Source organism: Homo sapiens, chromosome 1, assembly GCF_000001405.40.
Source record: "Homo sapiens chromosome 1, GRCh38.p14 Primary Assembly".
Taxonomy (NCBI): Eukaryota; Metazoa; Chordata; class Mammalia; order Primates; family Hominidae; genus Homo; species Homo sapiens.
Window position 1 is genome coordinate 90,468,532 of NC_000001.11, and position 19,951 is coordinate 90,488,482.

At 36.0% G+C, this 19,951-nt stretch overlaps 1 long non-coding RNA gene across 1 annotated transcript; it reads right to left on the reverse strand.

The window, feature by feature from the left end:
* Positions 1-7,298: 7,298 nt before the first annotated feature.
* LOC105378851 (uncharacterized) lies at positions 7,299-19,619 on the reverse strand. The gene is made up of 3 exons (XR_947591.3): positions 19,477-19,619; positions 10,237-10,294; positions 7,299-7,438 (listed from the first exon to the last, which is right to left on the reverse strand). It is a non-coding gene; the product is annotated as an uncharacterized LOC105378851 (long non-coding RNA).
* Between the last annotated feature and the right edge of the window lie 332 nt (positions 19,620-19,951).

The following is a 19,951-nucleotide window of genomic DNA, read 5'->3' on the forward strand; positions in this document are numbered from 1 at the left end:
TAGTGAACAGACAACCTTCAGAATGGGAGGAAATATTTGCAAACTATGCATTTGATAGGAGATTGATATCCAGAATCTACAAGGAACTCAAACAACTCAACACAAACAAAAACAAATAGCCCCATTAAAAAGTAGACAAAAAAAACTCAATAGACATTTTTCAAAAGAGGACATACAAATGGCCAACAAGCATATGAAAAAAATTCTCCATGTCACTAATCATCACAATAATGTGAATTAAAACCACAGTGGGATATTGTCTTATATCAGTCAGAATGGCTGCTATTTAAAAATAAAAAAATAACAGATATTGGTGAGGATGTAGAGAAAAGGGAATGCTTACACATTGTTGATGGGAATGTAAATTAGTTCAACCTTTCTGGAAAATAGTATAAAGATTTCTCAAAGAACTGAAAGTAGAACTACCATTTGACCCAGCAAGCCCACTACAAAGGAAAATAAGTCATTATATCAAAAAGATACCTGCACTCTTATGTTTATCACAGCACAATTCAAAATAGTAAAGACATGGAATCAACCTAAGTGTCTATCAGTGGATGACTCATAAAAAAAAATGTGGTCTATATATACAATGGGATATATTCTGTCATAAAAAGAGTGAAATCATGTCTTTTGCAGCAACATGAATGAAATTGGAGGCCATTATCTTAAGTGAAACAATGCAGAAAGTCAAATACCACATATTCTCACAAGTGGGAGTTAAATAATGTGTACATATGGAAGTAGAATGTGGAATAATAGAGAGTGGAGACTCAGGAGAGTGGGAAAACGATGAGGGATGAGAAATTAGTTAATGGGTACCATGTATATTATTTGGATGGTGGTTACACTAAAAGCCCAGACTATATATCCATGTAATAAAACTGTACTTGTATCCGTTGAATTTACAAAAAAAAAAATGTTAAATTTGTCTCCAGTGAAATAATTTGAAGTTTAAGTTTCCCAATTATCTAAATGTTTTAAAATATCATTCATTGTTCTCATGAGAATTCCCCTATATAATTATTTTTACATCTAGAAACATCAAATAATATTTTCTAAATTGAAAGGAGAGCTTATTTTAAGAAAACCTAGAATATTAAATCTCATATATTAAACTCAGATATATTGAAGATTATCTGAACTAGAATTTTTTTTCACTTAGCAAAATAGCACTCCTTAGAGAAGATTCAAAATGATTTAAATGTGCAATTATAAAACTTTAAAGTTAGAACAGGACATTTTCATGACACAACTATTTTATAAAATAAAGTACACATATTTATTGACTTACTTTTTCCCATACTCAGAAGTTGAAGTATTAAATACAGCAACAGATTTAATACCACCCAGAATTGTTTTAAAAGGAAAATGAAACATTTTTGGCACCCTCAATATGCTACGATCCTGAATCCTATTCTAAGTATTACAACATTGGTGGCTAACTAGATATTCAATTCAACCATTTCCAGAACTAACATTCAATAACAGGAATAAATCTTCTCAATGATGTAACTACCATGGTCTAAAACAAAGCACTTCATACCAAAAACGGTGATGCGTGATGTTGGCAATTCATGGAAGTATAATGAAATACGGTCTTGAAAAGAAAGAAGTGGGAATATTTGTGAAAATGTTTTATTATTCGACTGTGCATTCATTCAACACACATTTACCAAGCACCTGCTCTGTTCCAGATGCAGTTCCCGCTAGAGACAGAGGCATAATACTGTGTAAGACAGAGCCAGGGTCCTCAGTGAGGTTTCAATGCAATGGAGGAGGCAACTATGAGAGGAGACAGGTTAATTGGCATCTGCATGGTAAGATCTAAAACAGATGCCCACATAAAGAACCACAGGAGCACTGGGACAGAAAACTAGAACGTGTTTCAGGGAGTTGATGGTTTCTTCCAAGAGGTGGTGATTTTTAAGATGGGTTTTAAAGGATGAGAAGAAATTTCCCAAAGATATGTTGAAAAGCATTCCAGATAGCGGGAATGGCATGTACAGAGGTATGGAAATGTGTTGAATCTGGAAAATTAAGTTTCATTTGCCTAGAATGAGATGGGGTGTGGAATTTAAAGAAGAAAATAAAAAATAGGGACAAAGAGGTAGCTTCAGTCAGGTTATGAAAATTTATACGAAAAGTTAATTTACTTTGTTGTACTTTCATGCATAAATAAACACTCAAAATTTACCCTTGAGGAAAATGGTAAGTGAGAAGAAGGTATGAGGAAGGATATTCTTTCTTTGTTTTGTTCAGGAAATACAGTATTCATCTTATAATTTTCTTCCAGGTCAGAGTAGCATGTGAAACAGGCCTTTGCTGAACAGGTCCTTGGTGGTCAGCTCTTGGCAGGATGCACAGAGGCCTTCTCCCCATCCTTAGTGCTTGAACACTTACTGCCTCATTGGGTTATGAAATGCAGATTGTCTCTTGCTGTGCTACTGTACAAATGCAATATCATTGTATCTTTTTGGGTGTCTTTCTCTTTCCCCAATTATTATACTAACTCATTGAAGGCATAGACTACCTTGTACTATTTTTATTTTTCAAAGTAACTAACACATTTACTTCACAACCTGTTAGCCACATAATTTCAAGCCTAAGTCTAATATTATAGTAGTTCCCCCTTATCTGCAGATGATACATCCCAAGATCCCCAGTGGATGCCTGAAACCACAGATATTACGGAGCCCCTTATACACTGTGTTTTTTTCCTATACATACATAACTATGATAAAGTTTAATTATAAATTAGGCACAGTAAGAGATAAATAACAAACTAACAATAAAATAGAACAATTATAAGAATATACTGTAATAAAAGTTATGTGAATGTGGTCTCTCTCTCTCTCTATCCTATTGTACTTAACTTATATTCTGACCACAGCTGGGTACAGGTAACTGAAACTATAAAAAAAAGGAGGAGCTACTGTAATTGGTTTTAGAAGAGTGACTTTATTGACATTTAGAATTTGTATATTTAAACTTTTCTATGCTTTTATAATGGGCTCCTGCAACAAAATAAATGATGGTATTGAATTACAATAAACAAGCAGAAAAAAGAAATATTCATGAATCCTTATTTATATGTTTATATCCATAATAGAGATAAAATAAATGAGAGAAGAGGCTGCTGTTTCTTCCTGTAGTATCGCAATTAATAAAGTAACAGGAATGATGAAACTTAAAAATTACCATTAGGCAAACACCATAGAAATAAGTGTTACAGGCAAGAATCATCAATAGATGCTAAAATAGGAAGATACTTATTGATTAAAAAGAGGGAAAGAGTAACTTCACAATGAAGAAACCTGGCAGAAACCACCTTTACCAAATATTCCAAGTTACTATCACAGGTAATAAGTTATATCGACATCACACCTGGTATGATACACTGAGAATGTCACCTTACTTTCAGTGTTCTAGCCAAAAATGCTTAATGTAAATCCAATCGTGAGAAAACTGAAAACAGAAATTGCGGGATATTCTACAGAATGATCCACCAGCACTCTTCCAACGCATCAAGGTCATGAAAGATCATGCCACAATTAGGGGAAACAGAGGACAACTAAGTGCAAGATGGTAAATGTCCGGAAGAAGGACACTAGTGGAACAATGGGTCAACATCTAATAAGGTCTGGAGCCTCATTAATAGATTGTATCAATATTAATTTCCCTGTTTCTGTAATTACACTATGGCTATATAGTATGTGGACAATAGGGTAATCCGGTGACGGGAATATGAAAACTGCACTGTTTTCGCAACTTTTAAAAATATCTAAATACATTTGAAAATAGAAAATTGTTTAAAAATGCTAAATAGGCTCCAGTTACACATTGAACACAAACCCACAAGCAACTATATCTTCTTGGTAACTGTAATTAGATTATCTAACTTTCACGTTGCAATTCTTTTAGCAAAAAACTTTGCATTGGATAAAGGTGATATAATGTAAATTCACAATAATTAACTTCCTCCCTTAGAAGCAAAGCTTTCTAGCAGGAGATTTAGTTCTCTTCCACTACTAATGAAGATGGTCACAGGTAGTGTAATACATAGTTTTTAGGGAAAAGAAAATAACAAAATTTAAAAGGCAGAAAACTCTATAAAGGCAAAAACATTATTAATCTTGAAGTATTTACTGAGTACATATGTGCTAATTAACTTGGCCAAGATAAAGAAGCAGAATACATAGTCTTTGAACTTGAGACCTTCATAATCTAGTCCAGGAGACAGGATGGACATCTGTGAACAATAGCTTATGTCAGAATAAAACTTATTCCCCAGTCCTAATAATTCTACATGGAGGCACCTCCTCTGGAGTAATACTCTTGGCTACTATATTAGTCTACTATAGCTACCACAACAAAATACCACAGACATTGATTTTCTTACAGCTCTGGAGGCTGGAACCACAAGATCAAGGTACCCACAGGAATGATTTCTCCTGGGGCCTCTCACCTTGGCATGCAGATGGCTGCCTTCTCGCTGTGTCCTCACATGGCCTTTTCCCTGTGTGTGAGCATCCCTGGTGTCTCCTCCACTTCTTATAAGAAAACCAGACCTATAGAATTAGAGCCCCACCCAAGTGACTTCTTTTACCCTTAATTACCACTTTAAGGGTTCTGTTTCCAAATATAGTCACATTGCAGGTCAGGGCTTCAATATATGAATTTTTTTTTTTTCTGAGATGGAATTTCGCTCTTGTTGCCCATGCTGGAGTGCAATGGCATGATCTTGGCTCACTGCAACCTCCACCCACTGGGTTCAAATGATTCTCCTGCCTCAGCCTCTGAAGTAGCTGGGATTACAGGCCTGTGCCACCATGCTTGGCTAATTTTTTTGTATTTTTAGTAGAGACGGGGTTTCACCATATTGATCAGGATGATCTTGAACTCCTGACCTCAAATGATCCACCTGCCTTGGCCTCCCAAACTGCTGGAATTACAGGCATGAGCCACAGCGCCCAGCCTTCAATATATGAATTTGGAAGGAGGGTCAGGGGACATGATTTGGTTGGTAACAGCTACCTTGAAAGAAGACTGACTGGTGAGTTTCAGAGAGGTACTGAGCAAGTGCAGCTCTGCTCAGCCCCACCCTTCTCTATTGTACACATGAGTTCTGCCTATCCATAGCAAAGGTGCACTCTCACCCGATCTTTTGGCCAAATGATAAACTTAGCAAAACAGTCTCTGCTTCATTAGACGCAGAGGAAGTAGGACCTCTGTGACCAGGTAGATAAGCCAGATTAATCAGGGTGAACGATTAGCAAGCCCACTTTGCCAAAAGCTTTCCCCAGTGAAGTTTTATCAGTTAAAATACACCAAAAAGCTAAGGTTTTGAATTCAATCTGCCTGATCCTTGTGCCTATGTCTCAACTGGTTCTGAATGAGTGGGGGAAAAGAGTTACTTTTGCTTGGGCCTCCTAGTGCCACAAAGTCATACTCATATATCTCACTTGTCGGTCATATTACATAATATATACAAGACAGCATAATAAAATATTTCTTAGAAACCAGTCTGCTACAAAGTGTTTAAATACCATCTCACAAACATGAGTTTGTGAACCTCAGTGCCTTATCTATACAAAACAGATGATTAAGTAATTATTTCATCTCCAGCGAACAAAATTGTTTCACATAATTGCTTCCTATTTGGCTATTCATTTCAAATTCGAGTCACAAATAATGAAGCAAATAATCTCATTTTTAGTATAGTTTTTGTAGTAAAATTTTTTGCTTTGTTTTGCCCCTTGGCTAGCTTGCTCTCACTATGGCACCCTTAACTGTCTCTCCAGTAGCCACAGGAAGTAACAAAAGAAAAAGAGTGATGAACTACAAACTTTCTCAGTTTCATGAGAAGTACCTCAGGAACAAGAGGGTAATCCTCCTGTAGTGTAACCCAAAGCTGACATAAATTGGATGCTTCCATGGGGATTTATAGATGTGAATGATACCAAAACATCATGAAAATTAGACACTACTTCAGTAATTGTATTTGCACACTTAATTTAATCTGTCATAAGTTAGTACTATTTCTGCAAACCAACATCAGTAGTTAATTACCACTATTAATTTCAAAAGCAATTGATCTTCAGTGCTGATAAAATATCTTCAATGATGATACAATAGGAATTGAGAAGGCAAAATAATAATAAATATATACTTTGATACACAGATTTGAATGCTTTTCACTTTAAGTTTAAAACTGAAAATAATATCAACACCATTTATTTAAAACATTAGTATTCCATATTATAATCTTTAAAGCTGGCTTGTTATGCTGTATGTAGTATTTATACTAACATGCTAAATGATTTTTACATCTTTTAGACTTTGTCAAACTAATCTGCATGTACAGATTACAAAACGTGATCTGTTTCTGAATGACTCATTTGTTAGTGCTCAGAAGTAGAAAGAATCCTTTGGCAATAATTAACAAGGTATGCTTTGTGCATATTAGCACATAAAGATTAAATTTTTAACACAACTTCATTTCATGCTGAAACAAATCCCATTGTGCTAACTCTATGCTAAGCTATGGCATCTTATTCATTATTACCTAATTAACCTACTAATAGCCACATCATAAGAGTTTGTGTCCATAATTATGTTAGATATTGGTTTAAAATGCAATTAAAGGAATGCAATCACATAGATTTCTGAAATCGATTTGGGAAACCAAATTCTTGCAATTCATGCAGAAGAAAATGCCCTGCCTTTTGGATATTGTTCATTGCAGCACGTTATTCATTTCTTAGAGTTTCCATTTTCATCTACATATTCCATAATGGAAGGCAATATTCATGGATATTTAAGGGCAAACACTAAATAATCAGTAATGAATACATAAAACATATTTATTGTTTTATATTATCTTTAAAAATAACCCTGCCTAAGTAGAAGTAGAAAGTTTTGAAAGCAAAACTCTGAGAACAACAAAAAATTGGATTACTTATAAAGTTCATCACAATGTTCAGGAAAGAGAAGTTATCCATGAGAATGCTGTAGTATTATTAAAGCTCAAAATTTGTTGCTTTAATAATAATCTATAGTTTATATCTAAATTTCTTTTGAAGTCATCTTTCCACTAAAATTACAGAGATGCCAATTGATTTTTTAAATCTGACTGATGAGCTTGTACTTATTTTCCATAAAACATTTTACAATTGGGACAGATGGTCAGTTTTCTGTTTCCCCAGCAGTATAATAAAGGATTGCCAGCCCGAAAGTACTAGCAACAGTAAAAACTAACAGAAGCCTCAGCTAGTTGCTGCTACTGCATAGCTTACCACTAGATGTCCTGTGGACTAAGCAAGAAGAAAAGTGGTGCATATATTTGCATTTTTATCCTAGCAGTGGATGTTTCTGATTTTAATAACGTAGCTCTGGACTTCCAAAGTAGCTGGCCAACCATTTTCTGCTACATTTCCTATTGACACAGGCAAAATAAAACACAGCAATGCAGGTTATGTAATGAAGCCCAGCATGGCATTTGTCGTGCTTGCAAATAATTATAAAAGTATGATTGAAGTATTTATCCCAGAATCTTTCATAATGAGGAAGGAATACACACACACACACACACACACACACACACACACACACACACACACACACACACAATTCCCTTATTGCAAAGACAGATCTTTTAATTAAGCTTCATTTTTCTCATTTAGCAGGCTCAACAGGCTGTCTTGTTATAGATTCCTTCCTTTTCTGAGAAGGGTAATACATGGGTATAACAAAACAATTATAGCTTGTTCAGAGGAACCATTCACACTGTGTTATCTTCCATGACTGCTAAGCAAATTAAGGTTGAAATTTTTCTGTCAATTTGGGTGATTATTATGATGAATCTGTGAAGCACAGAAGGTATTTAAAAGCAGTGTGATGCCTTTCTAAAATTCCACCTACTAACAAGGCATAAAACTACCTGCAGATACCAATAATGTGTGCCAAAGTATAATGTGGAATGGTGTCTTTAGCTCCAATTGTTTCAGTATGGCACTCGGTCTGGGGAAATCTGGCAATGCATCCACTCAAATCCCCAGAGTTGTCAGGAAAGGAAATAGAGGAATAAGCTGTTCACAGTGGTGCTTGGTGAGAATCCCACAGAGATGAGGGCAAACAACAAATGCCATCCCTGGCAGCATTGTGACATGCTGGCAGGACAGGAACCTTGACATGAATGCCAAGGCTAGGGGTAACCATCACCAACATCTACAACTCCCCAAATCTACTCTTTTTGGAATTTGATTAAATGTGGTGAAAAACATTTTTGAGTGAAAAAATACAAGCAAATAGAGATGATTTAAAATTTTTAGAAACGTTGCAGCGTCTTACAAAAATATTTTTTAATGCCATTGGCCTTCCTGGACATATGTGTTGGCTGTGTTAGGATAGTGCAGAATTATCCTATCAGACATAGGGAAGTCATGAAACCAAGCTGACTAAATGAGATTCCGGGTGAAAGTAACCCTGGAAGCCCACAAACCAAAGGGTCTCTTTTTTCTTAAATGAGTGGATTAGAGCTCTCCCAAGACAATTGACTTTGTTTTGCCCCTTGGCTAGCTAGCTGTCACTGTAGCACCCTTAACTATCACTCCACTAGCCACAGGAAGTAACAAAAGAAAAAGTGATGAACTACAAACTTTCTCAGTTTTACTGAGAAGTACCTCAGGAACAGGAGGGTAATCCTCCCGTAGTGTAAACCAAAGCTGACATAAATTAGGTTGCTTCCATGGGGACTGACCGCTAAGAGGACCTGCTTGAAAATGACTTTTCTGAATCACTTTTCTGCTTCTAAGATCTTTGAGCTGTTGATTTCTCAGGGCCAAAGAGAAAAAGTTGGAAGGAAAGAAAAGAGGGGATGGGGAACAGAGACTCATTCTTTTATTCATTTATTGAACAAATATTTATTGTGCACCTATGTGTGGTGCATTTTGTCAAAGCTGATTTTGTATTCCCTTGCACTGGTGCAGAACAATTAGAGAAGAATTCAAAATGCAACTTTACATTCAATAACACACGAAGTAAAAGGGAATACTGAAATACTAGGGGAGAAGAGAGGTAGAAAATGTTTTATTCTACAGTATGTAGTTTTGAGTCACTGAAATTGACATACACTTTCCTGCCTCCATTCCTTTGTTCATGGTAAGCTATCTCTCTAGAAACCTGCATTTATCCATCTTTGCTTATTGAAATTTTGTCTACTTTCAGGGCCTATTTTGCAAGCTAGCTCCTGTGTGGAGCTTTTTCAGATTTTCTCATCTATATATGATTTATATATCATTTGAAGAATGATAATTCCTAGTTGATACTTCTTTATTACTGTGACTTTATTTCATCATATACTATTAATAAAATAGTTTTTTCCTCATAAGCAAATAGTATTAATGTCCTTAAGGACAGGTCACTTTTTGTAAAGATTTGAACGGCCTATATGAAATAAACCATTGACTTGAATGAATTTACCTATGGTTTCTCAGAGTTGTTGCACGATCAATACTAGAAACCAAGGCTCGAGACATCCTGCCCCTTTCTAGGCCCACTCTGTCCCTCTGTTTCGGGGTTGATTTGTAAATTAGCTATTTAACATTACGACCAAAACACTTTTCCAAATGGAGATTTAAATCTATCTCAATATACTAGATGAAATCCAAACTATTTATTCATAGCTCTGTCTTTGGGGAAGAATTAGAAGACTAATTGTTGTAACACGTTATTACCTCAAAGGGATTTTTGAGATTAATTCTGAAATAATGAATAGCCTAAGTTCTAATTTTTGAATAAAAATTTTATTTACAGGCAAATTGTTTAAAATGGTGAAGCAAAAATACTAATAAAGTACTGATTTAAGCTAGAAACAGTCATACAACCTCTTTTTAAAAGATCTGTTTAACCAGACCAGTAGTTCTTAGATCAATAATTCATTGATCAGATTACTCCGTAGTTGTTTACTTGATATACTTAGATAATGGAAATAATTAGAATCATGAAAAATACTTGAGTTGTTTGGTCAATTGCAATTGTGTGATCATTCACTTGACTGCTCAGTCAAGTCCTTATGATATTAGCATAAGTCACCCTATTTTGATTGATTTGAAGAAATTCCAAGTTTTTAATAACAGCACTGCTTTCTTCATAGAATGTATTGTAAACTTTTTGTTTTTGCTTTTTGTTGTCTCCTTAATTAGACTGTAAATTCCAATAATGCAGAGACCTTACCTGTTTTTCTAACTGCTATTCCCCATAGGACATGCACAATAGGTATTCAGTTATTGTTCTGTGAATAAATATGAATGAATTGAGCAAAAATTTGGAAGCTAAAATTTCTAGATAAATTCATTATGTGGTCTAAATCTACTAAACGTGGAGGACAGTTAAAAAGCAAAAAATTCAGCCCATCAGTTAATTGGTATGCCATCCCTCTCCCAAGTAAATCACTGAATTATTTTATTGGATTTTATTTTTTTAGTTCATATCAACCAAGTCCAAGGAGAAATGACCTTCTAGTAAGCCAGGCTGTATCTAATAACATAAATGGCAAGACCTTTTAGAAATTTTAACACAAGCAAGCTGTTTATATAGTCATATAGGAATTTTATGCTTAAAACAAAATCAATATTTCTGTACTTTCAAAATACCATCTTTACCTAGTGTGTGAATCTCCATTACAAGGATTAAGTAAACCAGAATCAATAAACATAAGTAATCACTTATACTGCAAATTGATACTGCAAAGCTATTAAATAGAGAGTTGTTTTACATATATATATGCATATATATATGCATATATATATATATATGCATATATATATGCATATATATATATATATGCATATATATATATATACATAGAGAGAGAGAGAGAGAGAGGATAGTATCATAATAATGAAATGAAAATGGCAACTATCTTCCTTCCTTCCCCCTCCAATCCACACACACACAAAGAATGAACATTAGCTTGGTACATACAGGCTGCTAGGTGAGAAACGTCCCTTTTTTAAAATTAAAATGACATCCTAGATTCTATAGTAGAGGAAAAAATTAGAATATATTTTAAGAAGACAAAATTTCAGACATCTCTGTGATTGTTTATTATCATGCTCTTTCATATGTATGGACTCAGAAAAGTTCATTAAGACAATATTTATATAGGATATCATAAAATAGATACACCAGGCTGGGCCTGATGGCTCACACCTGTAATCCCAGCCCTTTGGGAGGCCGAGATGGGTGGATCACTTGTGCTCAGGAGTTCGAGACCAGCCTGGGCAACATGGTGAAATCCCGTCTCTATAAAAGTGCAAAAATTAGCTGGGCATGGTTGCTCATACTTGTGGTCCCAGCTATTTGGGAAGCTGAGGTGGGAGGATCACTTAAGCCCAGGCGGCAGAGGTTGCAGTGAGCTGAGATTGTGCCACTGCACTCCAGCCCGGGCAATACAGTGAGACCACATCTCAAAAAAAAAAAAAAAAGATACAGCACATTTAATCATTTAATTCCACACTTCAAAATTGTCATCTAATTCTACATGTATAGTGGTGTAGTTTGAATACTATCAATAGAAAATCTAATGAAGAAATTATTAGTAAGCAAGGATTGCATATTTTCTGTTTCTCCAGAACAGAAATTTTTTCTCTTTCTCTTACAGAGAAGAAAAAGAAAGTAAAGCATGAAACTAAAGCATATTCTTTGTTAACAAGAAGGGTACTTCTCAGTATTTCTTTTATGCTGTCTGAATTTCCAAATGTGCCCTTATCATTTTTAGCAAGTGAAAATTGGGAAGAAAAATAGAAATGTAATATGTAATATTATATTTTAATGTGATGTTCTACTTTTCTGTTTGTAGTTATTGAAGTTTTTGTCTTACTTCATTAAACATTTAATAAATCACCACCAGTTTTGTGACAGGTTTTAACCATAACACAAACAGCAGGAGGTGTACACCCAGCTCAGTTCATATAAGCATATAATATCAGTGTCTACATCATCATGCCCTGCAGGCATATTGGCAGAACAACCAATGGGAGGTAAGCTTTTTCTGACAAAGCTTCGAAAATAAAGTTTTCTTCTTTTATCTTACTACAAATCAATTGGAGCCCTTACAGCAAAATCCTATAAAATAACTTCAAACACCACTTCTTAGTCTAAAAATTTGTATTATGGCTATAACTCTTTGAAGTACTATGACTGAACTTTGGAGAAAAATGATTTAAGTGCTATCTGCTAGACATCAGAGCTTCAAAAATTCTCTCAGTTTTTCTTGACACATAAACTGCTACCCACTGTATGTTTTTAGGACTTTTTTTTCTTGCTTTTAACCACCTAACCCAGTTTGCTTGATAAAAGTTATTTAACTGCAGTTTATCCAATTGAATTAATGCTCTTTAAAGGTTCACCAACTTGCAATTGATTATTTTACTTTGTCAAGCTGTTTTTTCTACTCTTACAAGAGTTTGGGATTTGTTTTTGTTTTTTAAAGAACTTTCAGAATTTCAAGCATGTTGACTATAAGTTTAAAAAAAATCACTGGCGAAAATATAAAACTTGGGGTTAAGGGTACATGTGATTCCTGCTTGGAAGTTAAATGTTAGAAAGAGAAAACTAAAAAGTCTTCTGATGAGAAAGTCTCCCTTACACTGAGAGACTGATGAAACCAAAGATGCCTCTTGCAAAGGGCACAAGACTCATCAGGCCTCCACCGGCGAGGGGTGAGAAGGTGTTGTCCAGGATCAAAGTCACTGCATGCTCACCAATGTTCTTCAGAAACTTCAGTCATTTAATTTCTTCAAACAAGACACAGAAAATGCTTAGTTTAAAAAAAAAAAAAAAGAGGATTACATTCAACAAGCTCTTAGTGAATATCTGCCTAATGCAGTTAACTCTAATAGATGCTATGTTGGGTGGGATGTGCTAAAGTGGGAAAAAAAAAAAAAAAAAAAGGCCCTGACCTCAGCAGGTGGACTTTGACTCAAAATCTTTAGTCAACACACAGATTCCTTTGGCTTGTTATCCCATTCTCCCTGAGGGGTATTTTGAGTTGAGTCTCTTTTAAAAGAAATGATACTTTCTGGAGTCCAAAATAAATTAATATAATTAATATAGATTTAAAATTGTCATTTCATATTCATAGAGGAAACAACAACTTTTACTACATTGGTGCTCAAATGCCAGTTGGCAACAAGACAACCAGCTGATACCACTCCTTCCTTCATTGAGAAAGTTGCCGCCAGAAAAATAAATGTCAGCTGAGTTAAGCAACATGCATAGTGATATAGCTGGGTTAAATTCTGGAGCAAGCTCTATATCCCACCTCAGATCAGCAACAAACCGTTTAAGGACTGGCAGCTTGTCTGTGAATCATATCTTAAATAATTCTGCTTTTCACAACCCAGTTTTAATGTATAATCATCTAAACCAAAAGAAAGTGCAAAATCAGAAAATAGACACAAAAGCATAAATTACAGAAGACTAGATGTTGGGGGAAAATTTTAATGAAATATAAGAACTTGAGAAGGAATAGGAAGAACTCTATTTTACACATCCCGGGTAATGAAATAGTACATTTTATCAGTCCTCAGTGGGATGTTACTTAAGAAGGGCATCTTTTGTGATTTACCTAAAGAACAGGCCCAGCACAAAACAGATTCTCCGTTGCTAATTCCTCATGGCACATCTGCTGTCTTCCCTTTCCTCATTGCTCTCCTTGCACACTAAGGCTCAGCTATCCCAAACACCATGGAACAGGGGGTGAAGTCCACACTGCCGCCATTGTTCTACACGTGACCAGCTAAAGGGTCCATGTAGAAAGTCACAAAGAACTGGATAAATATGCTGCAAAATCTGAAAAAAGAGTGCTAAGGAGTGACTGATGTGCAATAAGATCATGCTGTCTTCCATCTCATCAGATGGCAAGACTGAATACACACAAATGTCTCAAAGCCCAGGGAAGCCCAAGCCCACAGAGCTGCTTCAATGGGAGTCTGCGGAAAATATTCATCACATATTAATGTCACCCCTCTTCACTGCTTGAGAACTCATTCCCTGCAGGATTGAGCAACTCGATCAGTTCTCAGAGAGGATCGGCAATATGGATGCTTCTGAGAAATTTAAAAGAGCTAGGCTGCCCTTAAGCCTTCCTGCTGCCCCAGCCTTTGCCCACTTTGCCTTATGGACCAAGTGCTCTGTTGGCCCAACCCTACAGCTACAGCCTTCTTCTTCTGGGGCCCCACATCTGTCATGGAGAGCATTACTAAAAGCAGTGTACTCTGTTAGGGCAAGAGAAAACCTCCAAGCATTAGTATCCTCTTTATGGAGCCTCCTTACCTTTATTAAATAGTTTACTACTGCCTAAATAAATCATGAGGAGTAGTAGGTGGACCTCCTATTACCAGTCTATAATCTACCCAAAATGCTACACTAGGCATTGAACAAAACAAGAATACCAACTGTGGCCTAATACTGGGGTCAGCAAACTTCTTCCTTAAAAAGCAAGATAGAGCCAGGCACAGTGGCTCACACCTATAATCCCAACACTTTGGGAGGCCAAGGCAGGAGAATCACTTGAGGCCAGGAGTTTGAGACCAGCCTGAGCAACATAGCAAGACCTTGGCTCTACTAAATAAAATAAAATAAAATAAAATAAAATAAAATAAAAAAATTAGCCAGGCATGGTGGCATGCACCTGTAGTCCCAGCTACTCAAGAGGCTGAGGCAGGAAGATCACTTAAGTCCAGGTGTTCAAGGTTGCAGCAAGCTATGATTGCCACTGCACTCCAGCCTGAGTGACAGAGCAAGACCCTATCTCAAAAAAAAAAAAATAAATAAAAAGCAAGACAGAAAATGTTTTAAGCTTTGTGTGCCAGACAGTCTCTGACCCAACTACTCAACTCTGCCCTTGTAGCATGCAGGCAATCACAGATAATACTTATGTATGTATTTATATGAATCATATGGCTGTGTTCCAATAATCTTTATTTATGGACTTTGAATTTCATATAATTTTCATGTGTCACAAAACATTAGTTTTCTTTTTATTTTTTCCCACCATTAAAAAATGCACACAGTTCAAAGAGGTAAGTTGGACTACAAAAAATTTTAAAACTTTGGTACATCAAAAGACAAAAATCAACAAAATGAAAGGAAACCTATGGAATGGGAGAAAATATTTGCAAATCATATATCTGATAAGAAATCAATAGACAGAATATATGAAAAATTCCTACAACTCAACAACAACGAACAAAACCCAACAAAAATGGGAGAAAAAAGTTGAATACACATTTCTCCAAAGAAGATACACAAATGGCCAAAAAGCACAGGAGAAGATGCTCAACCTCCCTAGTCACTAAGGAAATGCAAATTTAAAACCACAATGAGATACCACCTTACACCTGTTAATTAAGATCTCTATCAGAAAATCATAAGTATTGGTGAGGATGTGGAGAAACTGAAACACTTCTACACTGTTGGTAGGGATGTAAAATGGTACAGCCACTATGAAAAACGGTATGAGGGTTACTCAAAAAATAAAAATATGCCCCAAAAAATTGAAAGCAAGATCTCAAAGAGGTATTTTTGTACACAGATGTTCAGAGCAGCATTATCCACAATAGCCAAAATGTGGAAACACCCCAAATATCTATCAATAAAGATTACAAATGGATAAACAAAATGTGGTATATACATACAATAGAATATTATTGAGCCTTAAAAAGGAGTAAAATTCTGAAATATGCTAAAACATGTATGTACTCTGAGCACATTTTGCTAAGTGAAATAAGCCAAACACAAAAAGACAAATGCTGTGTGATTCCACTTATATGACGTACCTAGAATAATCAAATTCATAAAGACAGTAAGTAGAATGGCGGTTACTAGGGGCTAGGAGAAAGAGAGAATAGAGAGTTGTTATTTAATGGTGACAGAATTTGGATATTTGTTTCTGCCCAATTCTCATGCTCAAAGGTAATCCTCAATGTTGGAGGTGGGGCCTGGTGGGAGGTGTTTGAGTCTTGAGGGTGTATCCCTCATGGCTTGGTGCTGTCCTCGAGGTCATGAGTGAGTTCTCATGAGATCTGGTTGTTTATAGGGCACCTCTGCCACTCTCTCTTGCTCCTGCTTTTGCCATGTGATGTGCCTGCTCCTCCTTCACCTTCTGCTATGTGTAAAAACTCCCTGAGGCCTCCCTAGAAGCTGAGCAGATGCTGATGCCATGCTTGTACAGCCTGCAGAACTGTGAGCCAATTATCTTTTTTTAATATAAACTATCCAGCCTCAGGTATTTCTTTATAGCAATGCAAGAATGGCTTAACACAAATGGGCATAGAGTTTCAATTCTGCAAGATGAAAAGAGTTCTGGGGATTGGTTGCACAACAATGTGAATGTACTTAACACTACTGAAATGTACACTTGAAATGGTTAAGATGGTAACTTTTATATGTCACGTATGTCTCACTGTAATTAAATACATTTTTTAACGTAAAAGTCATTCTTAGTTCATGAACTATCCAAAAACAGGCGGTGAGCCCACAGGTCATAGTTTGCCAACTCCAGCCTAATGTCTACATAGGTAGCAATTGAGTCCCTAGTTCTTAGTATCTCAACTTTCACACCCACAACTTTATACATATAAATTCATTCACTGATTTTTCATGAATGATGTATGGCATGCTATAAAATAGACACAGATAAAGTACTACAAGAGTTTAGGAGAAGAAAAGATTACACCTCACTAGAGGGGTCGGTAAAGCTGTTGTTGACTTTTGTGGTTCTCCCAAGTGGAAGATCCATTTGAGCTGAGCTTTTGAACAGGTAGTGTTTCGACAGACATAAGTGGAGAGGGAAGGGCAGCATAGACCAAAGAGTCAGCCCAAAGAGAGAAGCATGTGGAGGACCATCAACAATTCAGTGTGAATGGAGCAATACAAGAAATTGGAGATAAAATTAGAAATTTGACTTGGGGTCAGATCAAGAAATACATTAAACAGTCTGGACTCCTTAGGCAATAAAGAAAAAGAAAAGTTTTTTTGCATAGAGACATGGTTGACAAGACGAACATTATATGGTAATACAACTTGTTTATTTCTGTGCACGTTAAATGGAGTAAGAGGAAAGTAGCGAAAGCAGAAGACTAGCTCAATGCCTACTAAAATAGCAGTGACCATGGAGGCCTATAACAGGATAATGACAGGTAAATGGGAAAGAAGTTAAGAGGTTTGAGATATATCAGTTGAAATCTATAGGATTTCACCACTGGCTGGATGTGAGGGATAAAAGAGAAGAAAGAGCAAAGACAATATTAAGATTTTTAACTGTGGAGTTAGGAAGATGATAGTGTTACTAACAAAAATAAGAGACAGAGGTGGAACGCAAGTTTAGGAGGAAAGATGTCAGTTGATTTGGACACACTAATTGTGAGGTAAAGGGAATATCCACATAAAAGTTCACAATGAATAGCAAGAAAGAAAGTTGAGTCAAGATTGGAGGGTCAAGCATAGAAGTAATACTTACAGCAATGCGTATTTGGTGAGGATCTTAAGGAAAGGAATATAGAAAAGAAGGCCAACAATAGAACTTTGTGGAATACTACATTAAAGTGTAGGAAGAAAAGGATCCAGAGAATGAGCTAGAGAAGTGGTTCAGAAAGATGGGCAGGGGGTGGGGGGGGACTAGTATCTGTTGAGTGTCACTACTGTACTGAGGATATTACATGGGATGCCTCACTTTAATCTTTGAGCTAATTCTATCAGGTAGATATTATCCCTTCCTCCTTTTAGAGTGAGAACTGAGACTCAGAAAAGTTAAATATTAATAAAATGCCCCAAGTAACACAATAAGTGGCAGACCTGGTGTTCCCACCCAAGTCCTTAGAAGGAAAAACAGGGGTATATATGTCACTAAAGCAAAAGGGTAGAGATTTTAAAGAATACTATAGTATCAGTGCCACCAAATGCGTGAACACATTAAGTAGAATAAACACTGAAAATAAAAAAACTAAATGGCTATCAGATTTGCTTACTAGGAAGCCAATGAGAGTCTTTGAGAGAGCTGTTTCCTTACCATGTTGGAAACTAAAACTGTATTGAAAATGTTTAAAGAATGAGTGGGTGGTTTGAAAGTGGTGAGCAATGAACAAAAACCTCCTTTAGCCAGAAGTGTAGTGATGAAAAACAGAGGAGATTATATGGAAACTCAAAAGGATTCTTGGATCAGGGAAAGATGTTCTTATTGTTTTCTATTTTGTTTTTTGGTTTTTTTTTTTTCCATTTTCCCCCAATAGAGGAGCTCTGGACACATTTTTAGGCAAAAGAATATGATCAAATAGAGCATTTGGACATAAGAGAGAAGGAGGATAACTCGGCTACATATAACTAAAAAGGCCTAAGATATAGTCAAATAATAGATTTGGAGATTTATAAGCACTAAGTGTAAAAAAAATTTTAATGTAGAAAATCATAGCTTGGTTCAGACCACAAAGTAGTAATCTGTACTTTCCCAGTATGTTTTACTCAACAAAGACTCTCTTTTTAGCAGCTTAATATATGCTGCATAAACTGGTTATTATGAAGCAAGTCACAAGGCTGGAGGGCTCCCACTCCAATTTGACAACACCATCTTGTCTTCACACCACCTGTCACATCTATCAACATTTTAACTAATGTCAGAGTTCTTCTTTTGCTAATGAGCTGCTACACAGAGAAACATTTCTCCTCTCAGTCCGCCAGCTATACAGTATAATGAGGTAGAGTGAAAGGCGTGATCTTCCTCTCAGAAGCCTCTCTTTGCTTGAGAAGACCATCACTGCTCTTTTTCTCTTTTGTCACAGACCCACACGTAGTTATTTGAGGCACTTTTAGATGTATTTTGTTTTGATGTGATTTAAAAAAAACTCTCCTCTATCTAAAGGTCACCCCCAAGGTTGATATTGGTGGTGGCCTGAGAGCTCTCTACGTGGGTGAATAAGTGGCTGTGCTGTATCCAAGCACGTTAGCAGCCTTCCGTCTTCCCAAATACTGCAGTCTCTTTTTCCAAAGTGGTGCCTTTGTAATATTCCTCTCTCTGTAATATTAAAAGTCACATGTTGGTAGTTCTCCAATTACCCTCACCTATATTACCTTATAATTTTGATGTCCTACCTGGAAGCCACCTCTCCCCACCTTCTGCAAAGTTAACTCCTACTTTTTCTTTAAGAGTCAGTTAGGCATTACCTTTTCCAGAAAGTCTTCCCTACGTGCCTAGGCTTAGCTAAGTTTCCCTTCTCTAGGCTTCCATTCTATCTGTGTATGCCTCTATCCCAGCAATTACATCATTATATGGAAATGATTTGGTTTTGCATTTTTTCCTAAACTAGATGGTAATCTCTTTATATGTGAGAATGTATCTCGTATCTTTTATCTTCAGGGTTTTATACCTCAGAAACAACTATAAGTAATAAACATAATGTAAATACATTTCCTTACAGTAACGAATGTCTGGCATTTCCTTCATCAGCTGATATTTCCTGTTAAGTCCCCAGCTACAACAAATTCAGATGAAATGGCAGTTATCATAGATATAAGAAATGGAAAAGACCTACTACATTAGTCTTTCCCAAAATGTGCCCTCAGAACACTGACACTATGATATGGTCACAGGATTCCATCTTCCTACGTGTCCGGGAAACGCTTTATACTCTCCAAATGCTTAGAGATTCACAAGGCACATTGGATTTAAAAGCCTCTAAGCAGTCATACAGTAAAAAAATTTGTTTTACTTTAATTCAGTGTTTCTAAAATTGATTAATTTGACCAATGAATCCTTATTGGGGGCATAGCACCTATTAATATCCCAGAGACTTACTATTCCTTAAAAAATATTATACTTTGAGAAACACTGCATTATTTATCAAAGTCATTATAATTGAGTCATTCACATGAGATGCTGGGAAAGTCAGAG